We start from the raw sequence: 19238 nt of genomic DNA on the forward strand, positions 1-19238 counted from the left end.
TTTTGCTATTTACTACTCTGATAACTGAAAAATAATATATGATTTTATTTGTTTAGTTTTTCATGTTTAGGGGCCATTTGTATTTAAGTAGCAATTGGTGGAGCCACCTCCACCTTCTGCAGTAATTCCCCCTCTGTGGTCCATGCAGTGTTCAGCCTGGGGTGACTGCCTGGATTCCTTGTCCTTTAAGGATAGTCCAGAACAGAAAGCAAATAACATTTATTATGCCTCTATTTTAATATTTTAAACAGACATTAGAATATGTTTATGAGTTTCCCCCCTTTCGTTTTAGTTCAACACAAGATGAGACACATGTGAATACTGGGTCATCGTCTGAAGTGGTGCATTTGGATGATGCTTTTTCTGAAGAAGAGGAAGAGGATGAGGATAAGGTTGAGGATGAGGATGCTACCGAAGAGAGACCATCCGAGGTTTCAGAACCTATTGAAGAGTTACATTCCAGACCTCATAAATCTCAGGAAGGCACGCAGGAGGTTTCAGTTCGACCATCAGTTATTCAAAAACTGGAGAAGGGACAGCAGCAGCCCTTGGAGTTTGTTCATAAAATTGGGGCCAGTGTGAGAAAATGTAACCTAGTAGATATTGGTCAGGCTACAAATAATAGAAGCAACTTGGTACGCCCCCCAGTGATTTGTAATGCTCCTGCTAGTTGTTTACCTGAAAGCTCTAACGATAGACCAGTTACAGCTAATACAACTAGTTTACCACCAGCAGCTCATTTGGATTCAGTTAGCAAATGTGACCCAAACAAAGTTGAGAAATATCTTGAACAGCCAGATGGGGCCTCTAGAAATCCTGTGCCATCATCCCATGTAGAAACTACTTCATTTTCGTATCAGAAACATAAAGAATCAAATAGGAAATCTTTACGCATGAATTCAGATAAGTTGGTTTTGTGGAAAGATGTAAAATCTCAGGGTAAAACTTTATCAGCTGGCTTGAAATTCCATGAACGCATGGGTACTAAGGGCTCCTTAAGAGTTAAATCTCCTTCCAAATTAGCAGTAAACCCGAATAAAACTGACATGCCTTCTAATAAAGGAATCTTTGAAGATACTATTGCAAAGAACCATGAGGAATTCTTTTCTAACATGGATTGTACCCAAGAAGAAAAGCATTTGGTTTTTAACAAGACAGCCTTTTGGGAACAGAAGTGCTCAGTGAGTTCTGAAATGAAGTTTGATTGTATCTCTCTTCAGTCAGCATCTGATCAGCCCCAAGAGACTGCACAAGACTTAAGTCTTTGGAAGGAGGAGCAAATTGACCAAGAAGATAACTATGAGTCTAGAGGTTCAGAAATGAGTTTTGATTGCAGTTCCTCTTTTCATTCACTGACTGACCAATCTAAAGTGAGTGCCAAAGAAGTAAACCTTTCCAAGGAAGTACGTACTGATGTACAGTATAAGAATAATAAATCTTATGTTTCTAAAATAAGTTCTGATTGTGATGACATTCTTCACTTGGTTACCAACCAATCCCAAATGATTGTTAAAGAAATAAGTCTTCAGAATGCAAGGCATATTAGCCTGGTTGACCAAAGCTATGAATCTAGTAGTTCTGAAACGAATTTTGATTGTGATGCTTCACCTCAGTCCACTAGTGACTACCCCCAACAATCTGTAACAGAAGTAAACCTTCCTAAGGAAGTGCACATTGGTTTGGTTGATAAGAACTATGGTTCCAGTAGCTCTGAAGTAAGTGCTGATTCTGTTTTCCCACTGCAGTCAGTGGTTGACAGACCCCCAGTGGCTGTCACAGAAACAAAACTTCGGAAGAAGGCTCATACCAGCTTGGTTGATAACTATGGATCGAGTTGTTCTGAAACAAGTTTTGATTGTGATGTTTCTCTTGAGTCAGTAGTTGATCATCCCCAACTGACTGTCAAAGGAAGAAACCTGAAAGGTAGACAAGTCCACCTAAAACATAAGAAGCGTAAACCCAGTAGTGCTAAAGCACATCTTGATTGTGATGTCTCACTTGGGACAGTTGCAGATGAATCCCAGAGGGCTGTTGAAAAGATAAATCTTCTGAAGGAGAAGAATGCTGACCTTATGGATATGAACTGTGAATCCCATGGTCCTGAAATGGGTTTTCAGGCTGATGCTCAATTAGCTGACCAGTCTCAAGTAGCCGAAATAGAGCGTCAGAAAGTGGATGTTGACCTTGAGAATAAGAGTGTTCAGTCTAGCCGTTCTTCTCTGAGTTCTGATTCTCCGGCTTCTCTTTATCATTCAGCTCATGATGAGCCTCAAGAAGCTTTGGATGAAGTAAATCTTAAAGAGTTAAATATTGACATGGAAGTTAGGAGCTATGATTGCTCCAGCTCTGAGTTGACTTTTGATTCTGACCCGCCTCTTCTGTCAGTTACTGAGCAGTCTCATCTGGATGCTGAAGGAAAAGAACGGCACATTGACCTGGAAGATGAGAGCTGTGAGTCAGATAGTTCTGAAATAACTTTTGATTCTGATATTCCTCTTTATTCAGTAATTGACCAACCTGAAGTAGCTGTTTATGAGGAAGAAACTGTTGATCTGGAAAGTAAAAGTAATGAATCTTGTGTCTCTGAAATAACTTTTGATTCTGATATTCCTCTTCATTCAGGAAATGATCACCCTGAAGTAGCTGTTAAAGAAGTAATTCAGAAAGAAGAGTACATTCACTTAGAAAGGAAGAATGATGAACCCAGTGGTTCTGAAATAAGTTCGGATTCCCATGCCCCTCTTCATTCAGTGACTAATTCTCCCGAAGTAGCTGTTAAAAAGCTAAATCCTCAAAAAGAAGAGCAGGTACACTTAGAAAATAAGGAAAATGAACCTATTGATTCTGAAGTAAGTTTGGATTATAATATCATTTTTCATTCAGTGACTGGACGTTCTGAAGATCCCATTAAAGAAATAAGCCTTCACACAAAAGAGCACATGTACTTAGAAAATAAGAGTGTTTTTGAAACAAGTTTGGATTCTGATGTCCCTCTTCAGGCAGCGACTCACAAACCTGAAGTAATTGTCAAAGAAACATGGCTTCAAAGAGAAAAGCACGCTGAATTCCAAGGTAGAAGTACTGAATTCAGTGGTTCAAAAACAAGTTTAGATTCTGGTGTCCCTCATTATTCAGTAACTGAACCTCAAGTAGCTGTTAACAAAATAAACAGAAAGAAGCAATATGTTCTAGAAAACAAGAATGATAAATGTAGTGGTTCTGAAATAATTTTGGATTCTAATGTTCCACCTCAGTCAATGACTGACCAACCTCAACTAGCTTTTTTGAAGGAAAAACATGTTAATCTGAAGGACAAAAACAGTAAATCAGGTGATTCTAAAATAACTTTTGATTCTGAACAACTTCAGGAAGCGGTTAAAAAAATAGACCAATGGAAGGAAGAGGTTATTGGCCTGAAAAATAAGATTAATGAACCTAGTACTTATAAATTAATACATCATCCTGATGTTTCTGTCCAATCTGTGGCTGATCAACCCAAAGTAGCTATTAAACATGTGAACCTTGGGAATGAAAACCATATGTACTTGGAAGTTAAGAACAGCCAATATAGTTGTTCAGAAATGAATTTGGATTCTGGTTTCTTGGGTCAGTCAATAGTCAATCGACCTCAAATAACTATTTTGGAGCAGGAGCACATTGAACTAGAAGGTAAGCACAATCAATGTTGTGGTTCTGAAGTAAGTTTTGATTCTGATGACCCTCTTCAGTCAGTGGCTGACCGGCTGAGAGAAACCGTTAAAGAAATAAGCCTTTGGAAGGATGAAGAAGTTGACACGGAAGATAGGAGAAATGAAGCTAAGGGTTTTGAAATTATGTATGATTCTGATGTTCTTCAGCCAGTGGCTGGCCAACCTGAAGAAGTAGTTAAGGAGGTCAGTCTTTGGAAAGAGCATGTTGACTTGGAAAATAAGATTGTCAAACCTACAGATTCCAGAATAAATTTTGATTCTCATGAACCCCTTCAGTCCGTAACTAATAAAATTCCAGGGGCGAATAAAGAAATAAATCTTTTGAGGGAGGAACATGTTTGTCTGGATGATAAGGGCTATGTGCCCAGTGATTCTGAAATAATTTATGTTTCAAATATCCCTCTTCAGTCAGTGATAAAACAACCACACATTTTGGAAGAGGAGCATGCCAGTCTGGAAGATAAGAGCAGTAATTCTTATAGTCCTGAAGAAAGTTCTGATTCCAATGACTCTTTTCAGGCAGCAGCAGATGAGCTTCAAAAACCTGTCAAAGAAATAAATCTTTGGAAGGAAGACCATATTTACCTGGAAGATAAGAGCTATAAATTAGGTGATTTTGATGTAAGTTATGCTTCTCATATTCCTGTTCAGTTTGTGACTGATCAATCTTCTGTACCTGTCAAAGAAATAAACTTGCAAAAGAAGGATCATAATGATCTAGAAAATAAGAACTGTGAAGTCTGTGGTTCTGAAATAAAATGTCATTCTTGTGTTCATCTTCAGTCAGAAGTTGACCAACCTCAAGTGTCTTACAAAGAGGCAGACCTTCAGAAGGAAGAGCATGTTGTCATGGAAGAAAAGACCGATCAACCTAGTGATTCAGAAATGATGTATGATTCTGATGTTCCTTTTCAAATAGTAGTTAACCAATTTCCAGGATCAGTCAAAGAAACCCACCTTCCAAAGGTGGTACTTGTGGATCTGGTGCCCGGTGATAGTGATTATGAAGTAATTTCAGATGATATTCCCCTTCAGTTAGTGACTGACCCACCTCAGTTGACTGTCAAAGATATCAGCTGTATAAATACAGAATGTATTGATATAGAAGATAAGAGCTGTGACTTTTTTGGTTCTGAAGTCAGATGTAATTGTAAAGCCTCTACTCCCTCAATGACAAACCAATGCAAAGAGACTTTCAAAATAATAAACCGGAAGAAGGACTATATTATTCTGGGAGAGCCAAGTTGTCAATCTTGTGGTTCTGAAATGAATTTTAATGTTGATGCCTCTGATCAGTCCATGACTTACGAGTCACAAGGACCTGATGAGAAAATGGTGAAATATATTGATTCAGAAGATAAGAGCTGTGGATATAATGGTTCTAAAGGAAAATTTAATTTGGAAGACACTTCTCATCGAACGACTCACCGACTGCAGAAAGCTCACAAAGAAGCCAGTCTTCGGAAGGATCCAAGAAATGCTGGCCTAAAAGGTAAGAGCTGTCAGTCTAGTGCTTCTGCAGTGGATTTTGGTGCCTCTTCCAAGTCAGCGCTCCATCGAAGGGCTGATAAAAAAAAACGTTCGAAGCTAAAACATAGAGATCTAGAAGTGAGCTGTGAACCGGATGGTTTTGAGATGAATTTTCAGTGTGCTCCCCCTCTTCCATCTGATACTGATCAGCCTCAAGAAACTGTTAAGAAAAGACACCCTTGTAAGAAGGTATCTTCTGACTTGAAAGAAAAGAACCATGATTCCCAGTCAAGCTCTGTTCTCAAGGTTGATTCTGTAAGGAACCTGAAAAAAGCAAAGGATGTCATAGAGGATAATCCTGATGAACCAGTTCTTGAAGCCTTGCCTCATGTACCTCCTTCATTTGTGGGGAAAACATGGTCTCAGATAATGAGAGAAGATGACATAAAAATTAATGCTCTGGTGAAGGAGTTTAGGGAAGGTCGTTTCCACTGTTACTTTGATGATGACTGTGAGACCAAAAAAGTTTCTTCGAAGGGGAAAAAAAAGGTTACCTGGGCTGACTTGCAAGGTAAGGAGGACACTGCACCAACTCAAGCTGTGTCAGAGAGTGATGATATTGTCTGTGGTATTTCAGATATTGATGACTTGTCAGTGGCCTTAGATAAACCATGCCATCGTCATCCTCCAGCAGAGAGGCCTCCTAAGCAAAAGGGGCGTGTGGCTTCTCAATGCCAGACAGCGAAAATCAGCCATAGTACTCAGACCAGTTGTAAGAATTACCCAGTGATGAAAAGAAAAATAATTAGACAAGAGGAAGACCCACCAAAAAGTAAGTGTTCACGTTTACAGGATGACAGAAAAACCAAAAAGAAAGTCAAAATTGGGACAGTTGAATTTCCTGCATCATGTACTAAAGTTTTGAAGCCTATGCAACCCAAAGCCTTAGTCTGTGTTCTTTCTTCTTTAAATATTAAACTGAAAGAGGGTGAAGGCCTTCCTTTCCCTAAAATGAGGCACCATAGTTGGGATAATGATATTCGGTTTATATGCAAATATAAACGGAATATCTTTGATTATTATGAGCCCTTGATTAAGCAAATTGTAATTAGTCCTCCCCTGAGTGTAATAGTACCAGAGTTTGAGAGGCGTAACTGGGTTAAAATTCATTTTAATAGGAGCAACCAAAACTCCAGTGCAGGAGATAATGATGCTGATGGACAAGGCTCTGCTTCAGCGCCTTTAATGGCAGTGCCGGCAAGATATGGATTTAATTCACATCAGGGAACCAGTGACTCTTCTCTGTTTCTGGAAGAATCAAAGGTTCTGCATGCTCGTGAGCTTCCAAAGAAAAGAAATTTCCAGCTAACATTTTTAAATCATGATGTTGTCAAAATCTCTCCAAAATCAGTTAGAAATAAGCTTTTGGAAAGTCAAAGTAAAAAGAAAATTCATGGAAAGAGGGTGACAACTAGTAGTAATAAGCTAGGTTTTCCCAAAAAGGTTTATAAACCAATTATTCTCCAGCAAAAACCCAGAAAAGCTTCAGAGAAACAGTCAATTTGGATTCGGACCAAACCAAGTGATATCATTAGAAAGTATATTTCGAAATACTCTGTCTTTTTACGTCATAGATATCAGTCCAGGAGCGCTTTTCTTGGAAGGTATCTGAAGAAGAAAAAATCTGTTGTCAGTAGGCTAAAGAAGGCGAAGAGAACAGCTAAAGTGCTTTTGAACTCTTCAGTTCCACCAGCTGGTGCCGAAGAGCTGTCAAGCGCTATGGCAAATCCTCCTCCAAAGCGACCTGTGCGGGCTTCTTGCCGCGTTGCAAGAAGGAGGAAGAAGACTGATGAAAGCTACCATGGCCGACAGAAAGGTCCTTCTACACCTGTGAGAGCATATGATCTGAGAAGCTCATCTTGTTTACAACAACGTGAGAGAATGATGACTCGGCTAGCAAACAAACTGAGAGGTAATGAGGTAAAATAGAAGTTGGTTTTGTGTTCAGGCTAGTTGAGGATTCAGTACTTCAGTTGAAATATATTTGGTACTTTGTGCACACAGCTTTCCCAGCTTTGGTGAGAAAACTAATCTTGAACTATTTTGCTATAAATATTATTTTTCAGAATTTTTATATTCATTTAAAATTAGTGTTTAGAGTCCTTTCATTTTAAGATTCAGAAACAGCCTTTGTCCAACATTTTCTGTAGAAGAACTTCATCTTAATTTATGTCACAAAATAATTTAGCACCGTATATAGAATTTTGTTCCTCAAATCATATCCCTCTTATTTTTTATGATTATCTCTCTCATGCCAGCAAATTTAACATTGTGAGAATGAATATAGCAAACTTATTAAAAAGAAGGAATTATAATGAATTATGTCAACTTTTGAATGGGGTTGACTTAAATGAATACAAACAAAATATAAGTTTTCTTTCTTTTTAAAGCATTCCAGAAAATGAGATTCCATAATCTTTAATACAGTTTTTAAAAACTGGTGATTTTTTTTATGCATAGCACAAACTCCTCCTGCTTCATTTAAATTGGATCTGCAAGTCTCTAACTTTTATCATTTGGACACATGCACACATACAGTCTCTAGGTTTTTTGGGTTAGCCTTATTAGATCTTAAAGGGGAAAATAATTTTGCCCATGTGTTTAGGCATTCCCCCCCTTTTTTTTAACCACCTTTACTCTCTTCTACATGAAGAGTTGGTGGCTTAATATGAAAATCCAGGTTATTTTGTGGCCTTATCCCCTAAAAATATTTTAGGCATTACCATATCAGTTTTTATTTTTATGTTTATTTATTATTATTATTTTTTGAGACAGAGTCTCACTGTCTTGCCCAGGCTGGAGTGCAGTGGCCTGAACTTAGCTCACCGCAACCTCCACCTCCCGGGTTCAAGCAATTCTCCTGCCTAAGCCTCTCGAGTAGCTGGGACTACAGGCGTGCGCCACCATGCCCGGCTAATTTTTGTATTTTTAGTAGAGTTGGGGGTTTCACTATGTTGGCCAGGCTGGTCTCAAACTCCTGACCTTGTGGTCCACCCGCCTCAGCCTCCCAAAGTGCTGGGATTACAGTCATGAGCCACCATGCCCAGCCTACCATATCAGTTTTTAATAACTTGAACTGAAATTATTGGCTTGGTAATATTTGGGCAGGCCATTAATTCTCATTAGAAAATTACTTAATATTTCAAAAAATTGAATAAAACTGGTAATCTTTGTGGAGGCCCATTTTGCAAGTGGAAACCTGTATTTATACATTAGTTTGTCTTTAACTATTTGTTAACAGATTTTAACAGTTCAAATGAAAGATGTTAACGAGATGCAGTTTGAGTCTGGGATACTCAGAATAGATCCAGAACCTTTATTCAGGGACACTGGTTGAGTTGGTACAGATGCATTCAGTTGTCATTCATTCGTGTTAAGCCAAGATCCTGGATCTTCTATCATTAATGTTAAGAGGAAACATGAATTACAACTATATTGTATGACTGCCATATTTTATTGAAACTAAGGTCAATGTTGAACCATATCTTGATTTCAGAATTTAAAATGTGTTACCTTAGAAATAATGAAATATAGTGTAACAGTTGGTTTCTAAATGTGGTTTTATTTCAGGGGCCATTATTTAACCTGTGTGTATGCTATGATGGAGTTCTTTTGTGATTTCTTTACTTCTAAATTTAAATAGTAATTATGTTTAAAAACAAATGTTTTTGTCTTTAGTTGCAAAGCAGCATATATCTCATTTCCTTCAACCTTGCCTCCTCATACACAAATATATTTTCATTTCTTAAAAGATCACTGGGCCAGTAGTTCAAAATAATCCTCCAATTTTAATTTAGGAACAAAGCTTTGTCCTACTGACTAGGAAGTAAACAAACAGCTGATATATAAGATATTTGTGGGTATTGGTGTCTTTTTTCCCTATGGAATAGACACATAGTTCCCTTAAATATTATTAATAGACATTCTACAGTCTTTCAGTGTAAGTTTAAAAGCAAGAGATCAAATGAAAATGTGTACTATGTACCTATGATGTGTCATATCGTGATTACATCATGCAGAGAGAACAGTTCCTGTAATTCAAGTAATTAAAATTTCAAGTTGTAAAAATGTTACCATTTTCACATTGGAAGCCCTTCTAAGTACCATTTTCATTGGGGGCAGGGAGAAGGTTTATATTTAAATTTTATATTACCAGACATAAAAGTACAGTGCAGTACTGATGATTTTGTTTAAAGTTTTTGAAATGTTTTGTTTACTAAGTTCTTGTAATCATTATTTTAGACAAGCTTGAAAACTTGAAATTGTTGAAACTTATAATTTAAATTAAATTGGAAATTACTTTCAGAATTTGGTAGTATACAAGATGTGCCCCTTTGTCTAAATAAATGTTGGCTTAATTTGCAGAATAGATAAAACAATTGATGTTTTTGTGTGTTCAAGAATGCATTAAATTCTTTTAATAGTAAAAAGTCAAATTACGACCATAATGAGTATTTTAATCTTGTTCTTGTTCAGTATTTTGCGTAGATTTTTATTGTAATTGTCCTGAGTTCTACAGTATGTGAACAATATCGTGTGAAGTGTGTTTTTGCATTTGTGCATTTAAATTATTTATGTAACTAGGGCTGTGAGTAACACTTTTTTTTTTTTTTTTTGGTTAAAGAAAAGCTATATTTAAATATTCAAATAATTATATATTTCCATGTAAAACTAATGTGAAGACTAATGTATTTTTTATATTGCAGTGTAAAAGCTAAACTTGTTTTTGATGTTATCAAGATAAAATTTATTAAACCTTGAAATTTGTCTGTTCTCTCTTCATGTTAGAAACTTTTTCTGGGAATACTTGAAGAATAAGAGAATAATGGCCTGAGAGATAATAAATGAGAGAATGTAAATGTTGATGCCAGTGAGAAAGTAGTTTAACCAAAGATATACAGATTATATTCGATGCAGTAGTTATTTCAAAGGATTAAAATTAAACCATTTATTTGTCTGGTGGAGTGGTGGATTAGCAGCTTTTCACTTTGTGTACCTGTATTGAAAGGGCCCGTGAACAAGACTGAGTTCATGAGGCTGTATCTATATCACTGTTTGACACCTACTGGGGAGGGAGAACTTGGGAGCCTCCACTACCACAGCAAGTATTATAAAATACAAGAAAACATGAGAAAGTGTATGTGTGTCAGTGAGGTAGGTGCCTTTGGCACCAGTAGTACTGACTTCCAGAGTTTGTTGGCCTAGATGTTATTGCCAGGATAAACAACATCCTAATCTTTTTTTTTTTTTCCTTTCTTGAGGCAGAGCCTCTCTTTGTCGCCCAGGCTGGAGTGCAGTGGTGCAATCTCAGCTCACTGCAACCTCCGCCTTCCAGGTTCAAGTGATTCTCCTGTCTCAGCCTCCTGAGTAGCTGGGATTACAGGCATGCGCCACCACACCCAGCTAATTTTTGTATTTTTAGTAGAGACGGGGTTTTACCATGTTGGCCAGGCTGGTCTCGAACTCCTGACCTCAGGTGATCCACCCACCTTGGCCTCCCAAAGTGCTGGGATTACAGGCATGAGCCATGACGCCCGGCCCCTAATCTTTATAATAAAAAATCATGGTCGGGCGCAGTGGCTCACGCCTGTAATCCCAGCACTTTGGGAGGCTGAGGCAGGCGGATCACGAGGTCAGGAGATCAAGACCATCCTGGCTAACATGGTGAAACTCCGTCTCTACTAAACAAAATACAAAAAATTAACCGGGCGTGGTGGCAGGTGCCTGTAGTCCCAGCTACTCGGGAGGGTGAGGCAGGAGAATGGTGTGAACCTGGGAGGCGGAGCTTGCAGTGAGCCGAGATCGTGCCACTGCACTCCAGCCTGGGCGACAGAGCGAGACTCTGTCTCAAAAAAAAAACAAAAAAAACAAAAAATTACTACAGTGAAAATGTAAAATGGAAGTCCATTTTCAGCAAAGGGCTTCTATGTAAAGAAAATATAGTTTGTTGTTGAATCTTTAAGTAATATAAACTTAAAATTTTCTGTGTTTATAATTTATTACATGAATGTTGTAATTTATTTCCAGGTTTAATTATTTTAAGGTTAAAAGGTGTGTGTGAGTGAACATCTTGAGCCCTTGCTGAGTGCCAGAGATTGTTCTAAGCTTTTAACCTGTTATCTCATTTGGTCTTCAAAGGACCTTTATGAGTTAGATACTGTAATTTTCGCAATATATTAAATGAGAAAATTGTGGCATATTGTAGTTTATAGTTAATCATCATTCCCACCCCCCAGTTCCAAGCCAGCACTAATCTACTTTCTGTCTTTATAGTATATCCTTTTCTGGATAGTTCATATGAATGGAGTAGTAAAATATGTGGCCTTTTTGTTGGCTTCTTTCATTTACCCCGATGTTTTGTCATTGTGTTGTAGCATGGATCAGTATTTTGTTCCTTTTTATTGCAGAATAATACTTACAGTTCGTTTTTAATGAAAATAATAACACAGACCTGGTCTCCTGGTAGCAAATATGAGAAAACCACTAGGTTTGGGCCTAGCTGTTCCCTTTATGCCTCTCCTATGTGTTATCCTTGGTAACTGCCCAGACCCAAGACCAGACAGGACCATTGCCTTCTAGAGTTCTCTTATTCCATACCTGGATGCTTGTGCTTCCTCCCTTGGACTTTTTGTCCCTTTACTACCCTTCCTGGCATTCTTTTCACTGTTCTGTGAATTCTCATTTTCAGTGTCAACACATTACCCTGTGTTCTCAGTGCTTTCACAGTGGGTTGCTGGCAGGTAATTGGAATCTGAGAATTTTATCCAAGTTGCCCATTATTCTAATCTCCATAAGCCACAGAGCCAGGAACTGCTGATGGTGTACTGGTTGTGGCGAACACTCTTTTTTGAAAATTACTCTCTTACATAACCACAGCACATGCCATCAAAATCAGGAAATCAGCGTTGATCTGATAAAACCATCTACTCCACAGACCTTGTTCGGGTTTGGGGGATTATTCCAGAATGTTCTCTCCTGGTCCAGGATTTGATCCAGGATCTACTGGCATGACTCTAATTTTCTTCAGTATGGAGCAGTTCCTCAGCCTTTCTTTGCATTTCATAGCAAACTTACTGAAGATAACTAGTTTTTTTTTTTTTTTTTTTTTTTTTTGGTGGAAACTCAGTTTAATGTTTCTTTATAATCTGCTTTTGTAGGGGAGGAGCAAAAATTCTGTATTCTTAGTGTTTTGTAACTGGAGCCGTGTGATGTCAATTTGAGTAAATATGATAGAAGATATCCAGTGTTGGTCCTTAGGGAAAAAGGTTTTCATAATCACAGAAGTGGGGGCTCTCACTGAGGTTGAGTTATCAACAAATAGTTACATTTTCTGGCAGCATTGATGGTGAATTTTATCTAATTATCTTTTAACTCATAGATAAGACAATCACTTATTCATACATTTACTACCCCTACTACGTGCTTACCCATGTGTGGGTGCCGGGGATCCAGGCATCAACCAAACAGGCCTCTGGTTGCTCACCCTCATTCACTGATATGTGTGAGAGGGAATTTCAGTAGTGGTAAGTCAGTGGTCTTGCAACGTAATTCTTGTGCTTTCAAAGATCATTCATAGACTCATATAGCTAACACTCACAGGATACTGCTCTTTGGCATTGACCAGTCCCTCCACTTTCTTCCCTGAGACCCATTGCAAGCTGTTTCTGATCATTGTCAGGAAAGATTGTTTTCCTGTGTTTGTGTTATTTTGAAAAGGCTCTCTGTGTTGGTTTGGTGCACCAGGATAGTGTTGTACAGACTCACTTGCCACAGCAAAAAAATGACATCCTAAGGAGAAGTTAGTATATTCATCAGATGTTAAGTTTTTGAGTTGAGATTTTGTCAGCTTTTTTGACCTGGAAAAATAGAAGGTTTATTTATTTATTTTTTTTCAAGAGTTGTCACTGGTCACAGATAATGAAATAAGTAAAGTGAGTGGTGTTTATCATCCATTGAGCTAGACCTATTTTACTAGCTGATTGACTACCTGAAAATCTGAGTTTGAATGTGGTTATTTCACTGTGTCAAATGGTAGCCTAGTAACTGATTATTACTGCTGTTTTAAACAGTGACCTTCTTATGTTTAGGATATATTTAGGTGAGTTAGTGAGGTAGCTTTGATGCCTTAATAGAACCAGAGAAACCACTTGGCCATAATAACTGATAGTTTTCAGGTTTTCATACTGTGCTTACTACTTAACACATCTGTAACCTAGCAGAGCTCCAACGTTCTTCTTTTTGTTCCTACAGAGAAAGGATCTCAAGTCTAACTTAGAATGTGGCATAATAATGTGTGACAGTCTTTTGAGGAACAAATCACAGTAACCCCAAATTGCCCAGGGTAATCAATAGCAACTGCCAGATTGCATTTGGAGCCAGGACATTTCTTTGGCTACACTGGATGACCATGTGAGATCTGAGAGAACATGAGGATGGTTATAAGTGGCTGGATAAAAACAAAACGAAAATATGTGAGTTCCTTTTGAGCTAAAGATGTTGATGAGAATTATTCTGAAGAAAAATGGCCACTACATTTTAAGTGCTAATTTAAGAATGGCTGCTGCTTCTTAGAGATTGTTGAGTATACTGATTCTAAATTATGTAGTTTAAGTTGTGTAAATTTAAATTCTGGAGTAGGTTTTTTTTTATATCATATCCATCATAAAACAGCTGTTTTCACTTGCCATAGGTGAAACTATGGGTAAACATTTCTTTTATGTGCAGGTGTGTTGTAGCAATAGAACTTGTTAACAGTGTAAGTGCTTAAGGAATTTTTAGTGCAGATTCTGTGAGTTAAAATTACAGTATGGAATGGTCATGAAGCCTGATTTCCTTCCTCAGCCCCACTGTCCAGTAGAAAAATGATCCAGATTTAGTCTTCAATATGTAATCTATCTTCTTCTTGGATGTGCAGAAGGGTTTGTATTATATTGTATTTAAGGCTTAACATCTCATGCCAAGTAATTTTTTCTTCTGAATCACAGTAAAACTGTGTGGAAATCAGTTCAAGAAAAATTTGCTTGATGGTAGTGCATGATGGTAAGTGGGGCATTGGGAGTTCATCCTGAGTAAAGGAAGAGAGCCTGTTTCTCAAGCAGAGTCCATTCTGCTAGTGAATTGCCCACTTCTCCAAATGAACATAATGCAGTTAGGTCAGGGAGAATGACACAGGAGGCTCAGCATCATTTCTGTCTCCTCACTTTTCTTGGCACCATATCCTAACACAAAGGTTTATTGAATATTTACCTAAAATTTCTCCCACATTGGTTATTTTCACTTCTGTGGTTTGACACTGTGATACCAGATGGGACAAACAAGAGCCTGGTCAAAACTTGAAAAAAAAATCTGGGGAACAAGCAGTCCACAGGGTCTTTGAAAAGCTCTGATACATTCCTGGGGACCTAAAAGGTTGCATAAATGTGAAAAGCTGTGTGCATGCCTGGGAAAGACCTGAGAGGGCCCTACTCTTTCACCTCTGGCTGATTGGAGTTTCTGTGCAAGTAGGAAGTGAAGGCTAAGGCAGAGTTCTAAGCTGCCTGAATGTTGAGGGCATGTCTTAACACACATGGATACATCTAGAGCTTCTCAGCAAAGAATGGAATATTTATTGATTCACAGAATTTAAGGAAATGTCTGTCGAATCATTAGCTGACCACTAAGTTAACTGAGCAGAGACTTTAGTGGTTGTACAGTACAGGGAATAAAGACTATTGAATTAGTCCTGGAAGGTCACTATGCTAACAAATAGCAGCAGCAGAAACAACAAAACAGCAATTACAACAGACCCTAAGGGTGGGGGATATCTGATTTCCAGAGTTTTTACATTATATTATCTAAAATACTTAGTTTTCAATTAAAAATATTGAAATATGCAAAGAAATAGGAAAGCATGACCTATACACAGGAAAAGAACTGTCAATAGAAACTATCCCTGAGAGGTCTAATTGTTGGTCTTACAAATACTTTAAACCAGCTATTAAATATACGTTATTTATAGGATAAATATAAAAATATTGTAGACTAGGTGCAGTGACTCATGCCTGTAATCCCAGTACTTTGGGAGGCTGAGGTGGGTGGATTGCTTTGAGCCTAGGAGTTCAAGACCAGCCTGGGCAACATGGTGAAACCCCATCATGCATGCCTGTGGTCCCAGGTACTCTGCTGGCTGAGGTGGGAGGATCGTTTGAGCCTAGGAAGTTGAGGCTGCAGTGAGCTGTGATTGCACCACTGCACTCCAACCTGCACAACAGAGTGAGATCCTCTCTCAAAAAAATTATAAATATTAATATATACATAAAAATAAAGTCTAAAGGAAACCAGGTCTAAAGAATTAAAATATGAGAACAATGCTTAACCAAATAGATAATATCAATAAAGAAAAACTGGAAAAAAGACCCCGCATATCTACAACTATCTGATCTTTGACAAACCTGAGAAAAACAAGCAATGGGGAAAGGATTCCCTATTTAATAAATGGTGCTGGGAAAACTGGCTACCCATATGTAGAAAGCTGAAACTGGATCCCTTCCTTACACCTTATACAAAAATCAATTAAAGATGGATTAAAGACTTAAACGTTAGACCTAAAACCATAAAAACCCTAGAAGAAAACCTAGGCATTACCATTCAGGACATAGGCACGGGCAAGGACTTCATGTCTAAAACACCAAAAGCAATGGCAACAAAAGCCAAAATTGACAAATGGGATCTAATTAAACTAAAGAGCTTCTGCACAGCAAAAGAAACTACCATCAGAGTGAACAGGCAACCTACAAAATGGGAGAAAATTTTCGCAACCTACTCATCTGACAAAGGGCTAATATCCAGAATCTACAATGAACTCAAACCGATTTACAAGAAAAAAACAACCCCATCAAAAAGTGGGCGAAGGACATGAACAGACACTTCTCAAAAGAAGACATTTATGCAGCCAAAAAACACATGAAAAAATGCTCACCATCACTGGCCATCAGAGGAATGCAAATCAAAACCACAATGAGATATCATCTCACATCAGTTAGAATGGCAATCATTAAAAAGTCAGGAAACAACAGGTGCTGGAGAGGATGTGGAGAAATAGGAACACTTTTACACTGTTGGTGGGACTGTAAACTAGTTCAACCATTGTGGAAGTTAGTGTGGCGATTCCTCAGGGATCTAGAACTAGAAATACCGTTTGACCCAGCCATCCCATTACTGGGTATATACCCAAAGGACTATAAATCATGCTGCTATAAAGACACATGCACACGTATGTTTATTGTGGCACTATTCACAATAGCAAAGACTTGGAACCAACCCAAATGTCCAACAATGATAGACTGGATTAAGAAAATGTGGCACATATACACCATGGAATACTATGCAGCCATAAAAAATGATGAGTTCATGTCATTTGTAGGGACATGGATGAAATTGGAAATCATCATTCTCAGTAAACTATGGCAAGAACAAAAAAACCAAACACCGCATATTCTCACTCATAGGTGGGAATTGAACAATGAGAACACATGGACACAGGAAGGGGAACATCAGACTCTGGGGACTGTTGTGGGGTGGGGGGAGGGGGGAGGGATAGCATTGGGAGATATACCTAATGCTAGACGACGAGTTAGTGGGTGCAGCGCACCAGCATGTCACATGTATACATATGTAACTAACCTGCACATTGAGCCCATGTACCCTAAAACTTAGAGTATAATAATAAAAAAGAAAAAATAAAATAAAAATTATAAAGTTGAAAAGCTTTTTAAAATATATTTCTTAATAAAAATGTGTAAACCTTGTCCACTAGGTTATGTAGACTCCTTAAAGGTGTTAATAGTTATTGTGTACATTACATTTTTGTGTCTGTCAATATGCCTACTGAAATAAATGGTTTTCCTTCTTTCCACTTAGCATCACTTGTGTATATATATTTATTGTGTGCCTGTCTTCCCTACTAGCATAGAGACTTCATGAGAATGGTGCCTTGTTTACTCACCAATTTCTACCCAGCATGTGTGTATTAGTCCATTTTCACACTGCTGTAAAGACACACTTGAGACTGGGTTGTTTATAAAGAAAAGAGATTTAATTGACTCATAGTTCTTCATGGCTGGGGAGGCCCCAGGAAACTTACAATCATGGTGGAAGGGGAAGCAGGCACATCTTACATAGTGGCAGGTGAGAGAGCATGCAAGAGCAGGGAAAACTGCCTTATAAAACCATCAGATCTCGTAAGAACTCACTATCACAAGAACAGCATGGGGGAAACCACCCCCATGATCCAATCACCTCTCTCCCTCGACACATGGGGATTACAATTTGAGATGAGATTTGGGTGGGGATACAGAGGCAAACCATATCAGTGTGATTCAATATCTGGCTGATAGTAAGTTTTCAAAACATATATGTGGAATCAGTAAACTGCCAACAAAATAAATATGGTATAAAATATTGAAAATATGGTATAAAATATAAAAAATAGTACACCTGTATAGGGCATTTAGCATAAATGGAACTTGCAGTTTAGACATTGCTCTGGGTGAGTGAGTGAGTGATGAGTGAATGTGAAGGCCTATGACATTACTGTTTACTACTGTAGACTTTTATAAACACCCTACATTTAGCTACACTAAATTTATGAAAAAATATTTTTCTTTGATAATAACCTTAGCTTACCGTAATGTTTTTACTTTCTAAGCTTTTCAATTTTTTAACCTTTTTGATGTTATAATCACACTTATTAAATACTTTGTATAGCTGTACAAAAATATTTTCTTTTTTATATTCATACTCTATAAGTTTTTTTCTATTTCCTTTTTTTTTAACTTTTAACTTTTTTTGGTAAAAACTAAGTCACAAACACACACATTAGCCTGGGCCTACACAGGGTCAGGATCTTCAGTATCACTGTCTGCCACCTCCACATCTTGCCCAATGGAAGGTCTTCGGGGCAGTAACAGGCATGGAGCTGTCATCCCTGTGATAAAAATGCCTTCTTCTTAAACACCTTCTAAAGAACTTGTCTGAGGCTGTTTTATAGTTAACCTTTTAACAAATAAAAGGAGCCAGGTGCCGTGGCTCAAGCCTGTAATCCCAGCACTTTGGGAGGCTGAGGCGGGCAGATTGCTTGAGGTCAGGAGTTTGAGACCAGCCTGGCCAACATGGTGAAACCCTGCCTCTACTAAAAACACAAAAATTAGCTGGGTGTGGTGGTGTGCACCCGTAATCCCAGCTACTCAGGAGGCTGAGGCAGGAGAATCTCTTGAACCCAGGAGGCAGAGGTTACAGTGAACCAAGATCACTCCACTGCATTCTAGCCTGGGTGACAGAGTGAGACAACGTCTCGAAAAAAACAAAAACAAAAAAAAACCTAAGTAAAAGGAGTACATTCTATTAAAATAACAATAAAAAGTATAGCACAGTAAATACATAAACCAGTAGCATAGTCGCTTATTACCACTATCAGGTGTTATGTACTGTGCATAATTGTATGTGCTATAGTTTTATGTGACTGGCAGCATGATGAGTTTTACATGAGCATCATCACAAACACAAAATGTAATGTCGCATTACAACATTGAGATGGCTATGACGTCACTAGGTGATAGGAATTTTTCAGCTCCATCATAATCTTATGGGACCACCATCATATATGCAGTCTGTTCTTGACCAAAACATTGTTTTGTGGCACATGACTGTATTATTAGGTGTCATTATTCCTATAGCCCAGGCACTAATTTCCTTGTCTTGGAAGTGGGAAAGAATATTAATTAAACTGGTACTATGTGCAGTTTAACAATCATATGACCTCTAGATCAGGAATTCTTAGCCTCCCTGGCTGTCCCTACTGAGTATGATTGGTTGAACAATCGGTGTCCTCCTGTCCTTTGCAAGAAAGCACACACAGAACTCCAGAAGTTTATTGTCTTTACATGAGATTCCTAATGAGAGGCTCCCTGTGGGGTCACTAGGGGAATGGCTCCAGTATGGCACATTGGGCGACCTTGGATA

At 38.1% G+C, this 19238-nt stretch overlaps 1 protein-coding gene across 14 annotated transcripts in view; it reads left to right on the forward strand.

The window, feature by feature from the left end:
- The window catches only part of ZDBF2 (zinc finger DBF-type containing 2), a 39765-nt gene extending 29762 nt beyond the window's left edge, over positions 1-10003 (forward strand). For 13 of the 14 annotated variants that reach the window (XM_047445282.1, XM_017004573.3, XM_047445300.1 and 10 more), the window contains one exon: positions 293-10003. In XM_047445282.1, the coding sequence (XP_047301238.1) occupies positions 293-7169 (6877 nt within the window). In that variant the 3' untranslated portion in view covers positions 7170-10003. The remainder of the gene's footprint in view (positions 1-292) is intronic. The other variant, XM_017004575.3, reaches the window with a different exon arrangement.

The sequence above is a fragment of the Homo sapiens genome, chromosome 2, assembly GCF_000001405.40.
Source record: "Homo sapiens chromosome 2, GRCh38.p14 Primary Assembly".
Taxonomy (NCBI): Eukaryota; Metazoa; Chordata; class Mammalia; order Primates; family Hominidae; genus Homo; species Homo sapiens.